Below are 25,740 nucleotides of genomic sequence, written 5' to 3' on the forward strand. Positions count from 1 at the left end.
AGAATTACCAATATTGAGAAAGAAAATCTGCTTATCAGGTGTTAATGTTTAATTAAAGGGTACATTAACTTGTGATGCATTTATTTAAATCTCACATTGCTAGGCACTATTCTAAGAACTGAGAAGACTAAAGATAAGAAAAACATCACTGTGGGCCAGGTGCGGTAGCTCACATCTGTAATCCCAGCACTTTGGAAGGCCAAAGCAGGTGGATCTTCTGAGCTTAGGAGTTCGAGACTAGCCTGGGCAATATGGCAAAACCCTGTCCCTACCAAAAAAAAAAAAATTAGCTGGCTGTGGTGGCATGTGCCTGTGGTCCCAACTACCTGGGAGGCTGAGGTGGGAGGATCGCTTGGGCTTGGGAGGCAGAGGCTGCAGTGAGCCCAGATCGTGCCACTACATTCCAGCCTGGGTGACAGAGTCAAACCTTGTCTCAAAAAAAAAGAAAAGAAAAGAAAAGAAAATATTACTGTCCTCAAGGGACTCCTTAACTGAAGATTATCCATATATACATGCATGCATGTACATACACAATATATAACCATATAATATGCAATTATTAATAAAAAACAGTTTGATAGGTACTTTAATAGAAATCTGGGGCCGGACATGGTAGCTCACTCCTATAATCCCAGCACTTTCGGAGGCTGAGGCAGGTGGATCACCTGAGGCCAGAAGTTCGAGATCAGCCTGGCCAACGTGGTGAAACCCCGTCTCTACTAAAAATACAAAAAACTTTAGCTGGGCATGGTGGCAGGCACCTGTAATCTCAGCTGCTCAGGAGTCTGAGGCAGGAGAATCGCTTGAACCTGGGAGGTGAAGTTGCAGTGGGCCGAGATTGCACCACTGCACTCCAGCCTGGGCGACAGAGTGAGACTCTGTCTCAAAAGCAAAACAAAACAAAAAAATCTGGAAAAAATGCAATGGGAAAAAAGAGACGGGGAAATCACTTAGCCTATGGGAGAAGGATTGTGGGGCATGGAGATGGTGAGAGAAAGAGAAGAAAAAGAACTTCAGGAGGGGGATGGCTGCATGGAAAAGAGGGTGAAGGAGCTGATCCTGAAGGATGAAAGGAGGGTATGTGGTACAAGTGGTAAGATGAGGCTGAACAGACAAGCGTTGGTTCAATTACAACAGACCTTGAATAAAGAATTTGAAGTTTATTTTGTAGAACACATACACTGACAACAGAGTGATATCTAGGGAAGGAGTTGGCAAACTTTTTCTTAAAGGCCCAGACCGTAAATAATTTAGGCTGTGGTCTTTGTCTCCACTACCCAGTTCTGCCACTGTGGCGCAAAAGCAGCAATACACAATACACAAATAAGTGGGCACGGGTGAGCTGTTATAAAACTTCCCTTACAAAATAAGGTAGCTAGCCTGTAGGTTGTAGTTTGTTGACTCCTGTTCCAAAGAATAACTCTGCTGACAGTTCAGAGGCAGACAGGTGAGAAATGATGGTCTAACTGAGGCAGTAAAGGTGGGAACAGTGAAAAGGAAATGGTTTTGAAAGATTTCTAGGCAACAGAATTAATAGAACTTCATGAATGATTATTTGAGGGAGGCTAGAAAAGTCAAAGATACATCAGGGTCTTCTGACTGAGTAAATAGTGATGCTACTAATTGAGACAGTGGAACCTCAGCTAGAGGAATGAGTAAATTCTGGGAACAGAAGTACCATTTCATAAAGGATTCCCTTACTCTTTTAAAGTTGGGGAGGAGCCATGATTCAGGAGTTCCTTGGAAGAACAATGTGGCAAAGGACCAAGATTTGAGGTTCCCAAATCTAATTAAAGGGTTCTGCTTAAGATGGAGTACATGCATTCCACCCTATCTCTCCCACTGATTACAACTAAACAGCCTGGAGAGACTATATAACACAACTATTGGAGGACTCTGAAAAGTAAGAGCAGATGGACTGAGGAAAAAAACGAATACTCAAAGAATGACCATACCACAGTTAATTCTGTTTTAGTTTTTTGCCTTCCACATCTCCTGGCTTAGACTTCCCTGTTTCCTGGAACTGCAAATGGGAACAGACAGAAAAAGCTCCAAGAAAAGTCCCTTTAGTCGGAGTACTGGGTAGAAGATCCCCTGTGGGGTGAAGCGCTGTAGACATTTCTGGCCTCACTCAGTCTCAGAAACAAAGCTGCACACTGTAGGGGTGGCAGTGGGGGCAGTGGCAGTGGCAGTGGCAATAGTGCCTTCTATCAGTTCTTTTCTTTGACTGCTTTGCCCACAGAGAGACCAACTGCAGGGAGTGCATCATGGCATGAAGAGAGAGGATCAAGCCTTGGCTATATAGCCAGAGTACTAGGAAAGGAAGTTCTTGGGAGAAAGGAAGAATGGGGAGGATCACAGAGGGGAGGGAGCTCAAGAAAGGGATACTAAATTCTGCATATGAAGTCAGACTCATCTCCAAGGTGCACAAGTGTAGAACAAACCAATGGATCAATATAACAAGGACTTCTGTCTGTTAAAATTCAAAAAATTAATGTCTTCCTAAAGATTTTAACAGACTCCAGAGTCCTATAACATAATATTCAAAAGGTCTAGAATATAATCCAAAATTATCTGACTTTTAAAAAACTAAACAACTCTCAAAGGGCAAAAGCAATGAAAAGATGCCAACCCCAATTTGATGCAGATGTTAGAATTATAGACAAAGACTATGAAGCAGTTATCATAACCATGCTCCATGAAGTAAAGGTGAACATTTTTGAATAAATAAAAAGATAGACATTCTTTGCAAAGAAATTGAAGCTGTAAAAAGAAAATAACTACATGGAAATTTTAGAACTGAATAATACAATAACAAAAATAAACGTCTCACTGGAAAGGCTCAATAGCTGAATGAAGCAACAGAAGAAAATCAGTGGACTTAACTCAATAGACATTAGTGATCTGAAAACAAAGGAAGAAGAGAAGTTGAACAAAAATGAACAGAGTTCCAGGAACCTATGGTACAACACCAAAAGGCCCAACATTCATGCCATTACAGTCCTCAAAATGAGGAGAAGAACTGGTAGAGAAATATATTTAAGGAAATAATGCTTGGAAGCTTCCCGAATTTGGTAAAGGAAATAAATGTACAGATCCAAGAACCTCAGCAAACCCAAACAAGTTAAACTAAACAGGAAAACTATGCCCATACATATAATAATCAAACCACTGAAAACCAAAGATAAAGTCCTGAAGACAACCAGAAAAATGTTACAAACTTCATGTAGGTGAGTAATTTCTTTTTATTATTTTTTGAGACAGGGTCGGGCTCTGTCTTCCAGGGTGGAGTGCAGTGGTGCAATTTTGGCTCACTGCAGCCTCTGCCTCCCAGGCTCAAGTGATCCACCTCAGCCTCCCGAGTAGCTGGGACTACAGACATGTGCCACCATGACGGGCTAATTTTTTGAATTTTTGGTGGAGACGGGGGTTTTGCCACATTTTCCACGCTGGTCTGTAACTCCTGGGCTCAAGCGATCCACCTGCCTTGGCCTCCCTAAGTGCTGGGATTACAGGCATGAGCCACCACGTCTGGCCTTGTACTTGAGTAATTTAAATGACTGCATATTTCTTGCTAGACACCATGAAGGTCAGAACACAGTGGAATTATATTTTTAAAGTACAGACACAAAAGAACTGTTCACCTACAATACTGTATCCAGTAAACATATCCTTCAGGGATAAAGGTGAAATAAAGACATTCTTAGATGAAGGAAAACTTAGAAGATTCTTCACCACTGGATCTGCTTTAAAAGAAATACTAAAACAAGATCTTCAGGCTCAACAAAAATATTATAACAGAAGGAACCTGGGAACTTCATGAATGAAGAAAGAATAATAGAAATGGTAAACATCTGAGTAAATAAAGTATTTTTATCCTCTTAAATTCATTAAAATAGGTCTGACTATTGAAAGGCAAAAATTATGACACCATCTGATGCGACTTTCAATGTATGTAGATGTAATACATGTGGCAACTACAACATACAGTGGGGAGGATAATGAGACCTATATAGTTGTAAAATTCCCACATTTAACTTTGATATGGTTTGGCTGTGTCCCCACCCAAATCTCATCTTCAATTGTAGCTGCCACAACTCCCATATGTCATGGGAGGGACAAGGTGGGAGGTAATTGAATCATGGGGGAGGGTCTTTCCCATGCTGCTCTCATAATAGTGAATAAGTGTCACAAGATCTGATGCTTTTATAAGGGAGAGTTTCCCTACACAAACTCTCTCTTGTCTGCCGCCATGTAAGATGTGTCTTTTGCCTTTCACCATGATTGTGAGGCCTCCCCAGCCACGTGGAACTGTAAGTCAATTAAACCTCTTTTTCTTTATAAATTACCCAGTCTCAGGTATGTCTTTATCAGCAGTGTGAAAACAGACTAATACAAACTTGAAGTGGTAAAATCCTAACTATAAGCAGACTGTAAGAAGTTATGTATGTATTTTGTAATCCCCAGAGCAACCTCTGAAAAAGTATGCAAAGAGAAATAGTCAAACAACCTACATGTATGTATCATGTATATGATATATATAGAATCTGCAGAAATATATATCCAATTAAAAATAAATTTTAATTTTAAAGTAGAAATGCTTGAGTCTTTCCACTCTAATTACAAAAAGCGGAGGAATGATCATGATTAATACATCAGCTCCCTTCCCAATCTGAGCCAAAAGACAGAATTACCTGTAAAGTTCTGTGCTTTGAGATGCAGATCATAGAGTTTGTGAATGTAGCGTATATACATCTCCTCCTTGTTCAGTTCAGTCTTATAGAAGTTCTGTAAAAAAAGAGTACAGGTATGGATAGTTCCTCAACAATCTGGCCTACAATTATCTGCCTTTTACTCTGCTAAAGTTCCATGTCTGGAGCCAAGAGAACGGATTCATTTTTCCATGTAAATATCTCTAAAAATGAAATAAGGTGGCTCAGTGACAGTGTCAGTCATTTCCTAGCAATTACTGGATAAGTTGGTTTCTTGGGTTTTTATCCCTGATTCACATTTCTTTACTTTTTATGATTTTTTGTTAGTTTAAATGTCAATGAACAATCAGCCTGTTCAACTAAAAAATATTAAAAATACGTAACAGATTAATCCATTTTTTAACTTGGCCGATTGATACTCAAAGGACAGTTTCTTTCATTTTAAATTTCAAAGCTATTTTGCTCTAAAGAAAAAAGTCTCAGCTGGGCACGGTGGCTCATGCCTGTAATCCCAGCACTTTGGGAGGACGAGGTGGACAGATCACGAGGTCAAGAGATTGAAACCATCCTGGCCAACATGGTGAAACCCCATCTCTACTAAAAATACAAAAATTAGCTGGGTGTGGTGGCACACACCTGTAATCCCAGCTACTTGGGAGGCTGAGGCAGGAGAATCGCTTGAACCCAGGAGGTGGAGGCTGCAGTGAGCCAAGATCATGCCACTGCACTGCAGCCTGGTGACAGAGAAAGACTCCGTCTAAAAAAATAAAAATAAAAATCTCTAAAAAAAAAAAATAAAAAGCAAAAATCTCTAAGACATACAGGTAAGGATGAGTAAAAGCAATGTAAAAGAATGGGAAAGAGGGTAAATAAAAAGGCTCTTTATTTTTAAGATGTTATTCTGCATTTCCTATGCGTTGGACTTCAAATGTTTCCAGTTTATGTCCAAAACATAAAGGGACAAATAAGAGATTTTATTTCAAATTATTATTACAGAAACATGTTTATTGAAAATATTTTGTTTCCTAAGAAGTATTTAGATCTTAGGAAATATCTCTAAAATGTTTTTACCAAAACTCAACTTTTACTTACCTGGACAAATTATGTTGGCTATTTTATTTTTAGACAGAGTCTCACTCTGTCACCCAGGCTGGAGTGCAGTGGTGCAATCTCAGCTGACTGCAACCTCCGCCTTCCGAGTTCAAGTGATTCTCCTGCCTCAGCCTCCTGAGTAGCTGGGATTACAGGTGTGCATCACCACACCCAGCTAAGAATTTTTAGTAGAGATGGGGTTTTGCCATGATGCCCAGGCTAGTCTCGAACTCCTGACCTCAACTGATCCACCTGCCTCGGCCTCCCAAAGTGCTGATGCCACTGGGATCAGGCATGAGCCACTGATCCTGGCCCAGGCTGGCATTTTAAAGGCATACTGATAAGCATCCAAAGCTACTTCTTCACCACATTATAAAGCACATGAGTCCTCACTGAACTTATTCAACATAAAAGTGAATGTAAATGAAGTTGGATTCTAGTAAAAGCATAATGTTGTGAGTCTCCAAACAAGACATGTTTAGTGAACAAATCATTGTGCATTATGAAATCTCTGCTGGAGACACTTGAACTACTATTACTACTTATTGTTACTGTTTTAATTGATGCTAGTTGGTGTGTGGAAGAAGGGGAAATCGGTGATGAGGGAATAAATCTGTTGACTTGGAGGAGTGATAGGCTTTTCTAAGAGGAAAGGCCAGGAATTCTAAAAACTTTTTAAAGCTGATTAGTAGACAGGGCTTTGGTAATAATGGACCGATCTAGCAAATGTGGCTGTTGAAATGGTACTTGGGCTTGAAGCCTGAGGATCTGCTATCAAATGTACTTTCCGCCCATTACCTAACAGGTGTCCATTCTTCAGTCTGAGGACTCTTCTAACTTTGAGACACTGATATTAAGTCAAATGCATCATAAATTTTTTTTTCAATTTATACCATTATCCTCCCTCTTTTATTCTTGTCTCCTGTAGATCTTGGCATTCTTTAAAAAGCTCAATAAATAATGCTATTCACGTCTCTCTTATTATAACCAAAATCATTTTAATTAGCAAGAATTGTTGTATCATAAACACAAGTCTAACAACTCCACAGCAGGTTTTTATATGACTAAAGGATGATTTGCTCTAATAGCTTTCTGGTAAGAAGCAGCTTTGAGAACAAAACAAGCAATCACTCTAAATAAATAGTTCTCTTAAAAAAATACCTCCAGTCAGCAGATGATAATCTTCCAAATGTCTGACAAAGTGTGTGACACAAAGAACAAAACAATAATTACATTTCCTAGTATTAGTCATGTCAAATATTACTTTTTTAAAACCAATTTAACCCCGATCTTGTAAAGGATGTCACAGCTCTCCTGAAGACAATCTGGAATTGACTTTTTCAAAGAGTTAAGAGAAGTCTCTAAGAGGAAGTGAGTAAATGAAGAGAACCACATTGCTACTAGAAAAAATCAAGAACCTTCCATGTGGAGTAGAGGCTAAAAAGATTAGCTTCAAAGTGATAGATTTGCTTCTTTAATAAGTATTCTTGTGCTAGTTTGAAATAAGTAGAGCTTTCAAAGTGTTAAAATTTTCTAGAAGGACTATTCTTGGTCAGTGCAAAGCTATCAGGATAATGTCTCAAGTGGTTAGTAATGGGGCTACTGATTATACTATATTAAATCTCAGGTGTATTCCTACTGGGAGACTAGAGTAAATACATTAAAGGCAGAGTATTAATTCTTTCATCCAAGGAAGTGATCTCTTCTTTTATACCAATTGTGGAAATGAACATAAGGTCTATATTTATTTGCTCATCTCCAAATGGAAGGTACTTGAGAAAGAAGATGGAAGAATGGAGAGGATTACTTTGGGGAAAGGTAAAGGCTTTGAGGTTATTTATGGGACTTTGTGCCTGGAGTTGAGGTAGAACCAGAGTTAAGAAGACAGAGAAGACCTAAAGCTTATCAAGCACTTAGCTTTTCTCCCAACACTGACATACAAGCACGAATGTGGGAGAAACTCAGGCTGAGGGTCTTCACTGTGATGAGAGGCTGGCAAAAGCAGGTGAGAAACTGGAGAATCAACTAGGAAATTTAAGAGAGGGAATGACTATGTTCAAGTTAGAAATGAGTACTGAGAGCAGAGGTCAATGGTCTGACCCAGTGAGCGTGGGCTAATGGCCTGCAGGTTACCGTTGGGTCTAATGAAAACATTATGGAAGAAAGTGAACAAGATGTGGCCTGATAGAGGATGCTTAGGTCTCACTATTTTTAGGGACTGATATTGGAGGTGGAGATGTAACAATTAGATTAAAAATGTGGAGGAGGCAGTGGGTGTGATAAAGACGGATACCATCATAGGCTCAGAGATGAGAAGCAGTACAGCAAGACATGAGGAAAATAGATGAAAAGACAGTCACAAGAAAGCAGAAGCCCTGAGCTTTGAAGACGAACTGTGACAGGAGTAAACAAAGTAATACAAAACAAAACAAAACAAAAAGAAACTGATGAGCTAAGAAAAGACAAAATCAAAGTAGGGGCAAAAGAATTTCAAGGTGCAAGCAAATAGAGAACTATATGGCATGTGAGGAACTCAAATGATCAGAGTAAGGATAAGAATGACTGTGCAAGAACTTAGAATGTAATAGATGGCGAGGATTCATTTATTCTACAAAATATAAGAAAAAGAAACCATGAGATTCACAAATATAGAACTAGACTTTTCTTGTATTTTATATTTTCCTGTACTTCAGATCTGATTGAAGGAACTTATCCAAAACATTAATTTGACTTACATTAAAATATGACAAATAAACATCTAAATGTAGGGCCACTCCTTTGCTCTGTGGTAAGAATACCATTCTATTTAATAGTTAGTTATGTGACATTTTATATAAATGTTGGCTTGCCCAGGACAGCTTTGGATTAGCCTGTTATCCTTACAGAATGTTTAATTTTACTCTCAAAAATGTCCTGCTTGGTCATCCTAGTTACAAAGCAAACCTTAACAAAAGTGCTATTATGAATTCAATTTGCAAAAAAGCTAGAGTAAAAATTAGGGTGTTAAATAGAAAACTGTCATTTGTTCACAAAAGAAGAGATCACTAATATTTATCAAAATGTGGACTGCATATCACTCTGTGAGAAAGGAAAAGAACAGAAAGAAATTGCTACACAAAGTAGAAAGACCTCTAACAGGGGATACAGTGCTTTTTGCTAGGACAGCAACAAGACTCTAGGAGGGTGAAGTAGTGCAACCGGGGAACCCAATGGCATCACTCTGGGATCCCACACGGGTCTCCTATTAGGGCTGTGGGGAATGCAGGGGATGCACCTTGTAATGTCTGGGACTGAGGATTTCCTGGACTTTAATTTAACCTGCAGCTCACTATGCTTCTCTTAAAAACACTTGTAAATTTAAAAATAACTCTTCTAAGAAACATCACATTGCAGATTAAACACAAACAAAACATAGTATTTCTGGGAAAAAAATACAAGTATTAGGAGAAAAGGAGAAAAAGGGGAATAGTTTACTAACCAGAAGGCTAACTGTGCAGCCAATCTTTTTGCCATCTACCTCTCCCATTTTCATGCAGTCCCTAAAAACAAAAAGCAATAGTCAGAACTCAGAACTTCCTTCCTAGGGGCAAACACAGTTTGTTCTTTTTGGGGGAAAAAAAGAAAGAAAGAAAGAAAAAAAAAAAAAAAGAAGCCACTTTTAGGGACCAGAGGCAATTTGCATTGCAAGCGTTCGTTCATTTAGATACATGTTCCAAGGACTGATAATCTAATCTCTAGGGAATCTGGGGAGTCAGAGACTCCTGAGCATCAGCTTCTGTTAAGAATTTCATTGCCATGTCAAGATTATGCTCCCTCTCAATGGACATGGGCTCAGGAAGTTAGAGGAGTGAAAATGTGTTATTGTACACTTCCTACAGTAGGGTGAGAAGTGGCTGGTAAGCCTGGCCATTAACAATGAGAATGAGGGTTTCATTCCTAAAATAAAACCAAACTACCATGTATTTAAGTGGGATTAACTACTTTAACAGTTTAGATAATATAAAAATAAAAAACATAGGTCTATGGAAGGTGACACTGTGAGTTTCATCTCACCCACGTCCCCTTTTTAAGAGAATATTTAAGAGAATAGCATGATTGTACAATTCTCCATTACATTGTTTTCACCCTAAAATGGATTGGTTCTACTGGTTCTAGGGGCTAAGTCTAAATACCAAAATAAAGATTTTTTTTTTTTTTGAGAACTCTCAGGGACTCCGAGAATCCTCTCAATTCACCAAGACTTTGAAAGAACTATCAAAAAACAAAACAAAGCAACAAAAAACAAACAAAAGCTCAAATTAACAGCTCTGAACCAGCTGGTTAGAAGTTCATTATCTTAGTATACCAGGTTCCATGGTCTGATAATCAATTGAGTGATTCACAAGAGTGGAACGTTGATTGTATTCTATTTGATTTTCTAACTGGAGTTCAGCATGAACTGGAGTTCAGAAAAACATGCGACTTGGCTTACCTGTAATCTAACAACCTCTCCATTAGACGAGTTACAGTAGCAATTAATGAAACGCCACTTTCCCGCCATGTTTCCCGCTCAATTTTCTTTAGTAGACTGGAAAAGAAAGAACCCGGGGCATTTTCAACATTTATTTTTATCAGTCACCATGACAACCACTTTACTTTCATCAGTACCTTAAATGCCTTAGCAACCACTGCAACATCTCACAAGTAGCACAATTTGCAAACAATGTCTTACCTAGGATAGGGACCAAATAGTGGAATTCTAATCCAGGAAGCATTGACAAAGCAAATTGATTTTCAGATTATCCAAGTCATAAAATACAAACACATGCATATAATCATATTTTCAAAATATACAAGCATCTCACAGCTCAAAGACATTTTTTCCTAGCTTCTCCCTTACACTAACAGAGGCTTGCGTCTTACCACATCAAATAACACTGCAAAAAGCAAAAACAGGAGTGCCTCCAAGTTTACTTTTAAGCAAGATCTTGCTTTATTCACATAAAAATATTTTCCTACCTCTCAGTGGAATGCATCTTCATCCAAGCAATTTTACTGCAATGCAACTGCTACAGGAAAATCCTTGTACAGCTGGTATGACGTTTTGCGTTTTTTCCTTTCACTTAACATTTGCCCACTCAATACATATTGTACTATCTGTGCACTCACTCAACAGTTTCATTCATTTTGTCACTAATCACAGAGGATTTTCCATGTGGTTGTTACAGCAGATTGATGACAAGTACTGAACCACATCTCTCCTCCTACATTTCCCCTAATCCTAAGCACCTTGGAGCACAGGTACTATGTAAACACAAAATAATAACAATCATGATAATTACAATCTGTGTCACTTTCACTCCCACCTCTCAGCAAATTAACAGTGTACTTGGCAAAGGCTTTATGATTGAACTTCCCCCAAAAGATAAAAGCAAGAACATTAAGCATGGCAATATGTGGATACTTCCCTACCCCTTGAAATTTAATGATTGCCATTTCTGTCTAAAATCTTATTTGTCTTTCATCTTAGTTTCAGGAATAAGAGAGAAAACATTTCTTACAAGTACAGTCTAAGCATATCATATATGTACTTAGTTCAAAAATAAACATTCAAGAAGAAAGCTGTTTTGTCAAAGCTTTCTCTTGTCTGTGGCTATGTTCTCTCCCAAGTTTTCTCTCCATCATCCCCTACCTCTTTCTCTTGTTATTGGCATTCTAGTGCCCAGCCTTCTGTCTTGTCTCCTCCTGTGTTTCCTGTGCATCCCTCATCCTGTTTTTCTGGTTTATTCTAAACTGTTTCTTAGGTTAAGAGTGGAAACTGCATATGGAAGGGATGGAATCTGCCCTGACCAGTCCTGCAAGCGAAGGTCCCCTAGTTTGTTTAAAATGTGTTTTCTTTTAAAAACCTCTGAACAGCACCTCTTTCAGGCTTAAATTGCAAATTGTATTGAACTCAAATGAAAATCTGCCTGCCAAAAAGCAATGCGGAATGATGTAGAAATTTCCCCGTGACAGCCTACACCTCATACTTTAGAGGCTGAAAAACAAAGAACTCAAGTTAGGTAATAATTCTAAAAATACATGGAGACTTCTTTTATGGGCATAAGTTTCATTAATTTGCACAGACTTCTGATGCAGTAAGAGCTACATAATCCTCTTGTAAGAAGAGGCAAAGTTATGCACAACCTGTTTCCTTGACTAACTCAAGACCAAATGTTAGGACTGAGTCTAAAACCCAGATCATCTGTGTGCTCAGCCAGCCTTGTTCCCTCTCTTGGGAATCTTGCCATTTCCCTGTTTACCTGATACAAACTGAGAAAGAGAGGCTATCATCAAGAAGAGAAGAGTCTTTCTAGGTAACCCGGGTGAGAGTGGGTATTTTCATTTACTCTATAATAATGCCCATGTGCCCACATTGAGCTAGGGAACCCTGATAACAGTGAAAGGGGGTTTCTCATTGCTAATTGATAAGGCTGCTCTGTTCTATGCAATAGAAATTCCTAACCCTGGGAAGCAAGACAAGCCATGGCCCTGCAGGGATGACTCTGCTCACCAGGTTTTCACTCTATGAAAGAAATCTGTGTGTGTGTCGGGGATTTCACCCTCAATCTCCCTCTCTCGGTATCATAATGGGGTTACGTAGAAGTCATCACTCTAATATATAACACCTGTGTCTGTGCATGCTCTTTTTAATCCAAAGAGTAGAGTTAGAGATGTAAGGTATGGTGTCACATAGTGAATTCTCTGTCTCCAAATGGTAATTAAATGTGTGATCACTAAAAATCTTTGAAATAATGTGGAGTCTTATTGAATTATTTAGAACTGCATAGGAGAAGGCAGAGCGAAAGACTAAGAAATACCTGAGATGAATGTTACTTCTTCTGGAAAGCCCCTTTAGAGCCCCCAAGACTGTAGGTAGACCTACTGTATGCTTCCACAGCACAGTCACTGCTGGATCCCCAGCCCTGGGGAGTGCCCAATAGATAAAGCGGAATGAGCGAATCAGGTGGAGCCAGGGGAAGCAGAATTTAGTTGTGATACTCTATTCTGGATATTGCATGTTGGTGTCTATAATCTAGAATTTCAGTGTTATCAAAATGAATACATCTTTATGAAATAAGTTTCACAAAGATGTAGTATGCATTAATGAAGATAATGTTTGGGCTTAGGGAAAGATGAGTTGAGTTCTTAGCAAGGAAGGTACTAGACAAATTTAAAGTCTTACTCCAAGGGGTCCATTTTGGCAAGCACTACAATTTAGGAAGCAGTGAACTACTTACAGCTTTTCAGCTTCAGAACAAATTTTAAGAGGTTTTAGACATGAATTACACGTAACAAATGAGAATTTGTACCATATAACGGCATGTGTTCCTAATTCATAATGTGTGCAGTGACCCATTGTGATTATACTAATTCATTGTGATTTCTGTTGCCAAAAAAGCAATTTATTGTTTCCTGAAATAAAGTAATATTTACGCCTTCTTTCTTGTGCTCAGGTAGTAATGACACTTAAGTATCACTTTTGATTTGATTTATTCCCAATATGCTGATCGTAAAAGCATGAAAGGAAATTATTTATAGTAGCATTTCTAGTAATATCCTAAAAATCAACAAAAGTATAAAAATCTCTATTGAATGAATCAGGTACCTTAAAATAGTCCTGATTATAGAGGCTTAATATTTTAATTATTGGTTTGATTCTCATGTCGAGGTACATCTTCTATTTCAAAGTCATATTTATACATGAGCAACTGAAATTGCATATTATCAAGCCTTTATTAAAGTAGATAAGAGGCACTAAAGAACTATGTCAGTATTTATTAATCTTGTGAATTTGTTATAAATAATTAATCACAAATCTCAAGAGATTCATTTCACTGAGTGCTTTCTCATTTTGGTTCTTTGTTCAAACCAAGGACTAGTAACTGAAATGAGAGCAGTTTTCAAAAGCAATTTATTATACTGCATGAGATTTTAATCAGAATTCTTGCTAAACTCCAAGCTGCCATAAAAGACTGAAGCTGTGTACACTAGAATGAATGAGGTCTTGGTGAATAATTATGAAAACCTCTCATTTAATTACCATATCAGAAAAAAATGATACTGTTCAGAATCCAGTACAAAGAATATATTTTATCACCCACCACTACCACAGGAAATCTCTATACCCTTCTTGGCTTTTCCTTTTAATGTAATTTTCTTAAAAGCTTCAAGATAATTTTTAATCAGGCATGCTGAAATCTATCTAACCTATTAGTCACTAATTATATTCTTCAAGCCTATATATTAATGTTTCTACTGTTGTAAATTCATGATCATAAAGTTTTGGACCTGGCCATCAATACTAAAGCACTGATATTTAGTTTTAGGTGATACTTGGGCATAAATACAAACACGAATATATTTTGTCATAGAAAAAAATGTGTTACTGCATTATTTTGCACTTCTGAAAGAACTGCAAACATTTTTCAAGCACAATAAGCAAATTCTTCTTTCAAAAAGAAATACTTTGCACATATGTTAGATTTGAAAATGACTAAGATCCATAGGAAGCTGTAGAGAAAACAAGTGCCAGAAGTGAAATCCCAAAGCACTAAAACATTCTCACTGTATCTTCTGGCCATTTAAACACAACGCATGAATACTTGGTACAAGCAATTCATCCTGTGGCTATGATCAGATTCTATGGGTAGGGCAACCTTAAAGTCTCTTTACAGCATTCCATTATTTCTCTATCTTCCATACAAATCCAAAACACAGAATTTACTAAAAGTGATTTGCTTCTGAGATATTCTAATAAAAAGCATTTAGGAAGCAATTAATGCTGAGCGAACAATCAGTATTAATTAATTAAATCAGGTGTTGAAGAACAGATGCAAACTAGGTTAATTTTCCAACAGCAAATCAGCATCAGTATCTTGCTTTGGAAAGCAGTGCACACAAACATTACAATCACACCCCTTTTCTCCTCTCCCACTTATAACCCCACTTAAAATCATTATCTTGCAGGAATGGTTTTAAAATTATCAGGCATGAAAAGAGGGAGATTTGTTATGTAACATATGCAACCTGTCCTAATCAGAGATTAAAACAGGAAGACATGCCTAATCATCAACATTATAAGATCCATTCGCCAGAGTTAGGCAATTATCCTTTATTTCACACTCCACAAAGACAAAGCCCTCCTGTGAGACCTAAGCTGTCTTTGCAGCTCTCAGCTACCGTGGTGCAGAGAGGCTCAGTACTGACACCAAATCCCCCAGAATGGAATCAACTTGAGATAAACATATTACTCACATACTGTTGAAGAGCTCGCGGTATGTTTCGTCACCTTTGCCTTCTGACATCAGGCTATCCAGTTTGTCAATTAGCTTGGCTTCCACCTGAAACATACCCAACTATTATTCTCTTTCCTCCCCTTCACAAGTAGGATTTCTAGGCAAGTTAAAACGTATTTCTTTGTGCCAAGGAAAAAGCCATGGTAAATTTTGTGAAAGTGACATTATCAGCTACGGTTAATAGCAGGCAACCCTTTGGAATTCTAAGGGACTAATCTAGATAGAGTTACATGACTTCACACTCCTGGCTGGGTAGCGTTTACTGCTGCCAAAGACATCTATCTATTTGTTGATTCAAACACAAATGCTTGCAGCCCAGTTTAAACGTTTGAATTCTTTTTTAGGAGCTAAAAAACTGGCAAGTCCTGTTTCTTTTTTCTTTTTTTTAAACATCACTATATATAAGGACATCAGGAAACTAACATATCCACATACATTAATTTAAATCTTTGATGTGTTTTATATCTATTTTCTTTCTCAAAACAGTTTGAGGTTGCACTAAATCTTTGCTGAAGTTGAGAACTTGCCTTACCCACGTACAGATGGTAGATCCATAGCAATAGTCTAAGTCAGCAATAAGCAGCAAGAGAGAGAAAGGACATATTTCCTGAAAACTGTAGTCAAAACATTTATATTTTCCAGGATGTAAATCCTTTGGAACTTGAATATCAGGAATGGAAAAATATCCCTTTATCTATGTCTATCTGAGGCAGAAGAGACAGAAAATGAAAAACTTCTCTATGGCCAGAGAGAGTTAAAACGATTAGGGACTGGGAGGAATATTTGACTTTGTCAAAAGACTAAGCCCAATTATTATTCCTTTAAACCAAATTTCAATCAAGAGATAAAGACAAGGGGGAAGGAAAGTGGGTTTTTCTTTCCTAAGTACAATTTTTAAATAGTCTTTCATTCATCTATTAGCTTTCTTGAAAATAAATGTGTATACCGATACAGGTGAAACACCCATGCTTTTGGCAATAGGAGGGTTCCATGTCTGCAGTCAGATTGCTTGACTGGTTGACAACCATTCCTGAGATTTGAGGGAGGCTTCTTCTGGAGAAACATGAGGAAGGGTCAAACCCTGTGGGCACACAGGTTTGTGCCATGACTGTGTGAACAGACAGTAGGCCTACTATCTCCAAATTGAAGGACCTGGCAGAGCAAAAGCAGTGAATTCCTTCAGAGATCTGGTTTTGTAATAAGCCTGTTTTCCCAAAACTGGAGTATAACTATTAGAACCTATGTCAATGAGAAATGGTAAGCTCATTCCCTTGGAATTTCCTCTGTAAGAATTTCCACAGCTTTCTCCTTTAAATTAATTCTCAATGCTTCAAGCAAAGAGCAATAAAACATACTGTAAATCAAATGCTCAAAGCTAAGCCATTTGCCAAATACAATGTGCAGACCACTGAGAGCTCAATGAGTTTAATCATTAACTCTCTGATTCTTCTGCTCTGTGTCCAACTGGGTGCAAATAAAGTCTCTGCAAGTTCTTAAATACAGATCTGGGAAATCACAAAATTTTTCAGCTGAAAAGGAATCAAATGGTTTTCAGGGCTTCACTGAAGGCTCAGGACAACACAGGATCTGAGAAGTATCCACGGCTGTGTGGCTTGGGAGTGGATAGGCCAGGCTGGAATCTAGGTCTGCTGACCCAGTGTTCATTTCCCAAGTTGGAGTTGAATCCAGAAGTTCACAGATGCTTCAGGAGAGCTGAAACTCTTCCAACTCTTCTGAGGAGCACTTCTGCCTACCTGTTTAAAGTTGCCACTCCGCCTCTGCTCCCAGTCCATCATATCATGAAAAATTGGAATCATGACATTCCGAAGATCTGGCTGGGGTATCAAGGTCACTTCTAGGAAGGGGCCAATCAGGGCAGGGATAAAATGAAGCTTGTGCTCTCCTAAAGTGAGAAAAATATTTGAGTTTCAATATATTCAATCTTAATATGATTTCAGAAATTAATATCATAAAATTTGTTTAAAACTATTGCTAGAAATATATTCAATTATAGTCGTCTCCTCAAGCAAGAAAATATAATAACCCATGAGATACAATTAAAAATTATATAAATCGGCTGGGTGCAGTGGCTCACGCCTGTAATCCCAGCACTTTGGGAGGCTGAGGCTGCAGATCACGAGGTCAGGAGATCGAGACCATCCTGGCTAACACGGTGAAACCCCATCTCTACTAAAAATACAAACAATTAGCCGGGCGGGGTGGTGGGTGCCTGTAGTCCCAGCTACTTGGGAGGCTGAGGCAGGAGAATGGCATGAACCCGGGAGGCGGAGCTTGCAGTGAGCCAAGATCGTGCCACTGCACTCTAGCCTGGGTGACAGAGCAAGACTCTGTCTCAAAAAAAAAAAATTATATATATATATATATATATATATATATAAAATAAATCATCAGGAATTGGTTATGTACATTATTGTATATGCACACATTAAAATTTTTATGTGATCATTTAACATAAGGCTGAAGAAAGATAACATAGGTGAAGTTTTTCAATATAATTAAGCAAAAAAGCAAGTGCAATACAGTATGTATAGGAATATTTTTAATTTAAAAAATACACACACACACACACACACACACACACATATATCTTAGTCTAGAGTATTATATCCCTAATGTTAACCACAGAGGTTATCTCTGGATGGTGAGATTACGGGTGATTTTTTTATATGAAAAAAGGTGGCTAGGTGGTTCTTATCTCTATGATATAATTTTTCTCGAGTGTCTGTTTTTTTTGTTTTTTTTTTGACATGGAGTCTTGCTCTGTCACCCAGGCTGGAGTGCAGTGACACAAACAGCTCACTGCTACCTCTGCCTCCCAGGCTGAAGCACATCTCCTGTCTCAGCCTCCTGGGTAGCTGGGATTTACAGGCACATGACACCATGGCCAGCTAATTTTTGTATTTTAGTAGAGATGGGGTTTCACCATGTTGGCCAGGCTGGTATCAAACTCCTGACCTCATGTGATCCGCCCAGCTTGGCCTCCCAAAGTGCTAGGATTACAGGCATGAGCTATCGCGCCCAGCCTGTTTTTTAAAAAATAGAGATGGAGTCTCACAACATTGCCTTGAATTCCTGGGCTCAAGCCATCCACCCGCCTCGGCCTCCCAAAGTGCTGGGATTACAAGCATGAGCCACCAGGCTGGGCCCCTTGTGTTTTTTCTTAACAGAATAAATACACAACTTACATAAAAATTTAAATAGTGGTCCCCCCAAAAGAATATAAACATTTTCTGAAAAGACTAAAATGTAACAATAGTGAACCCACAATGGTGTTTTACCAAGTGCTAAAAGGTATGGTATTGATAATTCAGAGGAAAGGAAGGTGGGGAATGGTATGGACACAGATGATTTCATGTAGCAGGTGAGTTTTAAGTCTATTATGCTGGTGAGTGTTAAGTCTATTACGCTAATCATCTTTGTTAAATCTCATAAGTTTCTAGTTCTATAATATGACTATTGCATGCTATGAAAAACACACTCAAGAGCTAACCTTCAGCATCATGGCTGAAAGCACATGCTACTGAGAGCATCCACTTAGAATTTACAAGTTGGGAGGCTGAGCAGAAAGATAGCTGGCTTCATAAAGGAAGGTAATTTTCCAGTGACACTGTAGATTCACAGTGCATAGGTAGTATAAATGACTTTAGAGGGTTTTTGTTGTTGTTGTTGTTGTTATTGAGACAGAGTCTCACTCTGTCGCCCAGGCTGGAGTGCAATGGCACAATCTCGGCTCACTGCAACCTCTGCCTCCCAGGCTCAAGTGATTCTCCTGCCTCAGCCTCCTGAGTAGCTAGGGTTACAGGCACGCACCACCACGCCCAGCTAATTTTTGTATTTTTAGTAGAGACGGGGTTTTACCATGTTGCCCAGGCTGGTCTTGAACTCCTGACCTCAGGTGATCCACCCGCCTCAGCCTCCCAAAGTGCTGGGTTTACAGGCGTGAGCCGCTGCGCCTGGCTTACAGGGTTTTTTTTAAGTAACATGAATATGAAAGAATCTGGGGAGCAGCTAAAATGATGACTGAGATGAGAGCTGGGAAAACATGTGGATGTTTGTGAATTCACTGTTTTTTGTGATTGGAAGTGCCTTGGGAAACCTCCACTGTCTTTGGAAGGTGGGCCCCCATCTCTGGATAATCGCCTTATTTTCAGTGCTATGAGGTGTTGGCAAGAGCATGACCAAGTCAATAGCAAGTTTTTCATATCTTGGCACAGAAAGTAACACTGGCAATAGATGAACACATGAGGAAAGTGGGCACACAATGACTTCTGGACAATCAGTGAAGCTGTTGAAACATTAAAAGCTAAACTCATGTATTATATTTTCCTTTAGGCTAAAATATCCAGCATCAAGAAGAGTTGTTTGATTAATTCTACCCTCAAGTATTCACTCTCTATTATATCCTCAGAGTATGAGCATTTCTGTCATGATAAAACTTTCCTCCCTCTCTCAATGACACGGAAGGGTACCTGTTACTGCACACAGCTAAATATTTTAGATTTGAAGGGCCATGTTGCAATGCTGCATATGCTACCAGTGTGAGAGAAGAGAATTTAGAAAAACTTCCCCACAGTCTATAAGCCAGAGAGGTCATGGTATCTTCTGTCTCTATACATCAACTTTCCTCAACAAGGCATTACAGCAGTCAAAGCAATGGTTTGAATTTTTAAGTATTGAAATTACTATAAACACAAAGAGAGACAAAGCAGTAGTGCTTACTTCTTTCTTGTACATGTTTTGATAAGGAACAAAGTATTCATTTAATTGTTTGGGAAGTTTGGAGAATGTCAAGATCATAAAAATGTACCTTATTGTATATTGTATGTGTTTACTGTATTTCCATTTTATTAACTCATTCAGTCATTAATCTATTCATTCAGTGACTCAAGAAATAAGAATGTCTAGTGTATTTTAAACACTGTATTAGGAAAAATACTTGTAAATAGCTAATCACAATGGGTATTTGGGCTATTGCTAAGCTATAAATCTAGTATCAAGAAAAAACAAAGGGCCTGGTGCAGTGGTTCAACGCCTGCAGTCCCAGCACTTTGGGAGGCCAAGGCAGGAGAATCGCTTGAGCCCAGGAGTTCAAGACCAGCCTGGGCAACATGGTGCAACCTCATCTGTAAAAAAATACAAAAAGTTAGCCAGGCATGGTGTGTCACGCTCAGAAGTTCAGTGTGGCAGGGGTCAGGGTTGGATGAGGGATGTGCTGGCAATGAGGGTGGCTTGGTTTGTAAGCTAAGCTGAGTGGAAGAGGTAGTTGGGTAGTTCAGCTGTCAGTGGTGGTGGCCAATTAGAGCTTTATTTTGTATAAAAATAACTGGGAGAGTGTGGAAGATGGGCTGTAGTGGGGACACAGATGCTGGAGGGCCAAGTAGGTTATCCAAGTAAATATGACAAAGATTGGTTCAAAAGCAGCAGCCATGGTAATAGAGAAAAGGGGCAAGAGCATGAGTGAGAGTAAACACTGCTATTAAATGATATCAAATTTATAGAAACAGGAGCCAACTTAAGATGGAAGGCAAGATCACAACTTCAGTTTGGGGCATGTTTGAGGTACTTCTAACACTGAATACTCTAGCAGGTGTCAAAGAGCCTGGTCTGGGGCTCGAGACAGAGGCCTGGGCTGGAGATGTACTATTTCAGAACTTTCAGTGATAAACAGGGTGAATGAAATCACATGGGGGAAACCTGTGGCAAAATATAAGAGGAACAAAAGGAACAGGACAGCCTGGGCACACATGTGCCGGGACAAGAGAGGAGCTGACTAAAGAGACATGGTGCAGGGTAGGGAAGGAGAAGTGGGAAAGTGGTGATGGGAAATGATAGAGAAGAGAAGGCTTTCAGAAGCAAAGAGGGGCAAGGTTGTCAAATGCAGTGACTCCTTAATAACATCTGTTACTTGTAAGCATTCCCTATGGCAGGCACTGCTCTGGGTGCTTTACATGTGTAATTTCATTTGCTCCCTACAACAACTCTAGGTGGTAGGAACTATCAACCTCCCACTTACAGAGAAGGCAGCTAAAATCCTGGGAAGTTAGGCAACTTGCCCGAAGTCACCCAGCTAGCTGGCTCTACAATGAATTCTTAATCACTCTCCTAGGAATGGGACTCACTACAGGCCTTTAGATGTGGCAGAAGAGTAATGCAAGTGAAAACCTGATTACAATGAATTACAAAGTAAAAAGAGAGAGAGACAAGGTGAGCTGGCAAGGATTTCCAATTTCTCCTCTTAAAGTTGTCTGAGAGTAAATGCAAGAAAGCCATTTAGGAACTTGAGGGGTGGAAAGGAAGAGGGATTTTTTTTATCTTTCTGATGGGAGAGTGCAATCACATGTGTCATTTGTCCCATATTAATCCATCATTCCATGTGGTTGGGATGGGGTTGGGGAGTCCTCACTCTACTGCCCCAGCCTCAAGAGTAGGCATATCACCTGGGCCTTGTCAAATAACCAGCTTCAGCTGGGTACAGTGGCACTCCTGGTAGTCCCAGCTACTTGGGAGGCTGAGGCAGGAGGATCACGGAAGCCCAAAATGAAGTACAGCTGAGAAACATAAGGACTTCTCTAAACAAACAAACAAACAAACAAACAAAACCCAGCTTCATCCCTGGCCCCAGGGACCGGTTCATGATAGGCACATCACCCAGCAGGAACAATCTGTGGCTCTGAGCGACATTCTAAAAGGGACTTTGAAAAGAAGAAATAGGCTTGAAGCTGATGGAAGCCATTTTCCCACAGAGTGGAGAAAGCCTAAGAGTACACAGAGGTTAAAGTCAACACACAGAACAAAGGAGAGCTGGGAAACAACCAGCCCTGATGCGTGTCCTCTTGAAAATGATCATGCCTGAAGCCAGATCCACCTGTGGGCTTCCTAGCTCCCAGAGACAATGTATTTCTTTAACATGACTTTGGTGTTTTGATCTTCGACTTTGTCACATGTAATTAGTGGAGCTCTGCTATAGTAGTTAGAATGTAAGCACCAGTACCCTCTGTCAAAGGCCCTCTGAACAGGGTCCTGCCTACCCTCTGCAGACCAATATGGTGATAAGGAAGAGATGGGAAGCTCTGTGCCTAAGACCTTCATAAGCCTGAATTCCCTTGGAATTTCCATCCTCCTGGAAAAGGTACCCTTGACAGAGGCCACTGGTTTGAACTACCTTCTATCTTGAAGATACATAGAGGGCTTTGTATCAACTTCTCAACCACAGTCTGTGATGCTGTCCTAAGGCTGTCTCAGATATCTGCCTCCACTAGGAACTGGATCTCCTTGCCCTTGGCCTGTATCTTGAGTGCCCTAGAGGACCAAGGTCCTCATGATCTCTGCTGGCAAGATGTTCACCCCCTCCTTTAGCTGCACCCTGGGGCATCTGGGAGGTCCCCCATTCTTGGGAATGGGTGCTCCCCAGAGACCTTACACCATCAGAGAGTGTCCCTCTATCACAGGAGGCGGGCTGATTTTACCTTGGCTTGAGTGTCAGTGTGAGTTCAAGTGCTCAAAGTGCTTTGATTATCTAGCCAGACATACAGCTCCAAACACAACCCTCAGACCTGTGCCCATCTGAAAGTCCCTTTACATCACCAAAGTCATGCAGTCCTTTCCTCTCTCTCAAGGTTTCAACAAACATAACTTAATTGTTTCTCACTAATACAGGACACATTGCTAGTTCTCTGCAGTACATTGCAGCTTTGCAACTTTTCCTTTTTAAGTTTTTCTACTGCTACTTCTGTGATGAGGAAAGTTCTGCCTTCAGCAGTTGGGAGTAAGATATCTTCTGTAGTCAAATGTTAGTCTCAATATTTTCCCATCAGCAAAAAAGATGGCCATTTGGTTTCTACGTTCTTCTAAGGCACCTATAGTGTTTCCTATTAAAATGTTACTTAATTAGTAAGGGGATTTTAAGTTCGGAAGTTAACTAGAACCATTTTTTTTTAAAGGTAAGTGCTTTAGCATGGGCCATAATAGCAGGCAATCTAGCACGTTTCCTCTGTTAAAGAAGCCTTGCCCAAAGGCAACACAGGCTCTCCAAGATCCATTTTTTAGAAAGCCAGGCAAATCACAAATTTAGGAAGTGAAAGGGGGAATCATACAAGGTGGACAAGCTAAGGTTGCGTGGGTAAGCGTGGTTAGTCCCACCACTTAGTTCATCCAGTTCCATGGCTTGCAGCACCATGCCTTCAACCATGGGCAGCACGTTTAACATGGTGCCGAGATCCAAAAACCAGAAAGGGAAAACAGTCGGAGAATGCTCCCTGTCTTCTCCTCCACTCTGGGTCATACAGAAACGAAGAAGACTAAAAAAATGCTTTTATTCTCACTTCTTTTTCTAAATGGGTAATAAATTATCTTCAGTTTACACCCCTCTGAAGTGCACTCTAAAACACCAGAACTTCCTTAACCTGAGAACGTTAAAGAGAAAAGCAACTCATTTTCTTTTGCACAAGGACAGGGCATTTTTACCAAACCTTTGCAAGTGCTGTAAGATCAACCCAGCTCTTTTAGCAATCTTATCAGACAGAGCCAGGGAAAAAGTTCCCCAAAATTAAAAAAGCAACTTTCAGGGGAACCATCTAAAAATCCCCCTTATTTGGGGCCCTTTTAAGTTCCCTTCTCATTATAGAACCTTAGGCAAATAAAGGAAAACATAGGCTGATTTTCCGAAGACCCTAATAGGTATATAGAAGTTTTCCAAAATTTAACTCATGTATTTCACCTCACATGGAAGGATGTTATACTGCTCCTAAACCAGACCCTAATGGCAGCTAAAAAGCAAGCAGCTGTGCAAGCAACAGAGAATTTCAGAGGTGAGCAATATATTTCCTATAATACACCAAAAGGGAAGAAAGCAAATAAGGAAAGCAAAAAAATAGTAGAAACACCATTCCCAACTGGGAGGGAAGCAGTTCCAGTAAACAACTCTGACTGAAACCCCAAAAACTCAGGAAATAAATGAAAAAAGCACTTTTTAATATGATTTTAGAAGGCCATGGAAAATGAGGGCCAAACCTCTTAATTACTCTAAACTGTCTATAATAGACCAAAAGACAGATAAGAATCCTGTAGCCTTTATGAAAAGGCTGAGAAAGACGCTAATAGAATACAACCCCTTACCCCTAATTCAATCAAGGGATGGCTCATTCTAAAAAACAAGTTTATTACACAGGCAGCTCCCAATATTAAAAGGAAACTACAAAAGCAAGCTATAGGACCAAATAGCACCTTAGAAAGTCTCCTAATGGTGACCACTTTGGTCTTTTATAATAGGGACCAGAAGGAGGCCCAAAGGAAAAAGAAAAATCTCAGGAGAAGGACAAAGGCTCTAGCAGCAGCTTTGCAGGCTTGCAAAGTCCAGGATCCCCGAGGTGCATCTGCTAGTTGCTATCAGGGTAGCAGGCCAGGGAATTTTAAAAAGGAAGGCCCAGGCAGCAAGAAAAAGCCACCTCAACCCTGTCCAGCCTGTGGCAGAGACCACTGGAGACAGAACTGCCCCCAGAGGTGGAGGTCACTGGGTTCAGGACCAGTCTCACAGATGGTCCAGCAGGACTGATGGGTCCCAGGGCTCAAGCCCTGGCTCCAGCAGCTCAAACTGCCATTATAGCACAAGAGCCCTGAGTAATGCTGAAAATTAAAGAAGGGAAAGTAAACCTCCTTCTAAACACTAAAGCCAGTCTCTCTCTTTTCTCCTCTCTAATCCAGGCCTCCCCTCTTCCCATAGCAAGACTGTAAGGAGTGTCTCAGAAGAAACTCTAATCCAATATTTTTCTCAACCTTGGTTGCAGTTAAAAGGACCTATTATATACACATGCTTCCAAGCCACTGTCATAATAGCTCTACTAGGCAAAAAAAGCCTCCAAGTTAACCCTAGGAAATAATTTAACTGTTTACACCCCACATACTGTGGCAGAATTACTGTCCTCTAGGGAAAGCTCTTAGCTAACAGCCAGTAAAACAAGAAATACAAAAGGAGGATAAGCAGTAGTCACTCTAAATAACATCTCTTCCCAGGCACAGCGCTCAATTCGCTAAGCTAATAGCTCTTACAAGAGCACTTGAATTAAGCAAAGGAAAGGTAGCTAACATTTATACTAACTCCAAGTATGCTTTCCTAATTTTCCATGCTCATGTTGCCATTTGAAAGGAAAGATATTCTCTTACCACTAATGACTCTCCTATAAAATATCACCAGAAAATCAATAGGTTATTATCCTCAGTTTTTCTTCCACAAGAAATAGCAAGAATGCATTGCAGGGGACATCAGAAAGAAACAAGTGAGGTAGCCAAAGGAAATAAATTGGCTAATCAGGCAGCTAGGTCAAAGGCAAGGAAGCCTCAAGGCATCAACATGCTTCAAACTGCTTCTAATCTAGGAAGGCTCCATAAAAGAAATTAAACTTCAGTATTCCCTACAGAAATAAAAGAGGCCACTTCTCAAGGGCATACTTTCCAGCCCTCAGAATTGCTATGGTCAAATAATGGCAAACTCCATTTGCCAGGCTCCAGCCAATGGAAAGTCCTTAAAATCTTTCACCAAGCTTTTCACTTGGGAAAGGATAAAACTTATCAATGTGCTCAGATATTGTTTTCAGGCAGAAAAC

At 39.6% G+C, this 25,740-nt stretch overlaps 1 protein-coding gene across 14 annotated transcripts in view; it reads right to left on the reverse strand.

Moving 5' to 3' along the window:
- The window catches only part of DOCK4 (dedicator of cytokinesis 4), a 480,290-nt gene that overhangs the window by 47,472 nt on the left and 407,078 nt on the right, over positions 1-25,740 (reverse strand). For 8 of the 14 annotated variants that reach the window (XM_006716189.3, NM_001363540.2, XM_017012825.2 and 5 more), the window contains exons 31-36: positions 16,876-17,024; positions 15,081-15,166; positions 10,516-10,542; positions 10,276-10,371; positions 9,283-9,343; positions 4,695-4,788 (exon numbers count right to left, since the gene is read on the reverse strand). In XM_006716189.3, coding sequence (XP_006716252.1) covers positions 4,695-4,788; positions 9,283-9,343; positions 10,276-10,371; positions 10,516-10,542; positions 15,081-15,166; positions 16,876-17,024 — 513 coding nt within the window. The remainder of the gene's footprint in view (positions 1-4,694; positions 4,789-9,282; positions 9,344-10,275; positions 10,372-10,515; positions 10,543-15,080; positions 15,167-16,875; positions 17,025-25,740) is intronic. The other 6 variants (XM_047421081.1, NM_014705.4, XM_047421078.1 and 3 more) reach the window with 1 other exon arrangement.

Source organism: Homo sapiens, chromosome 7, assembly GCF_000001405.40.
Source record: "Homo sapiens chromosome 7, GRCh38.p14 Primary Assembly".
Lineage (NCBI taxonomy): Eukaryota > Metazoa > Chordata > Mammalia > Primates > Hominidae > Homo > Homo sapiens.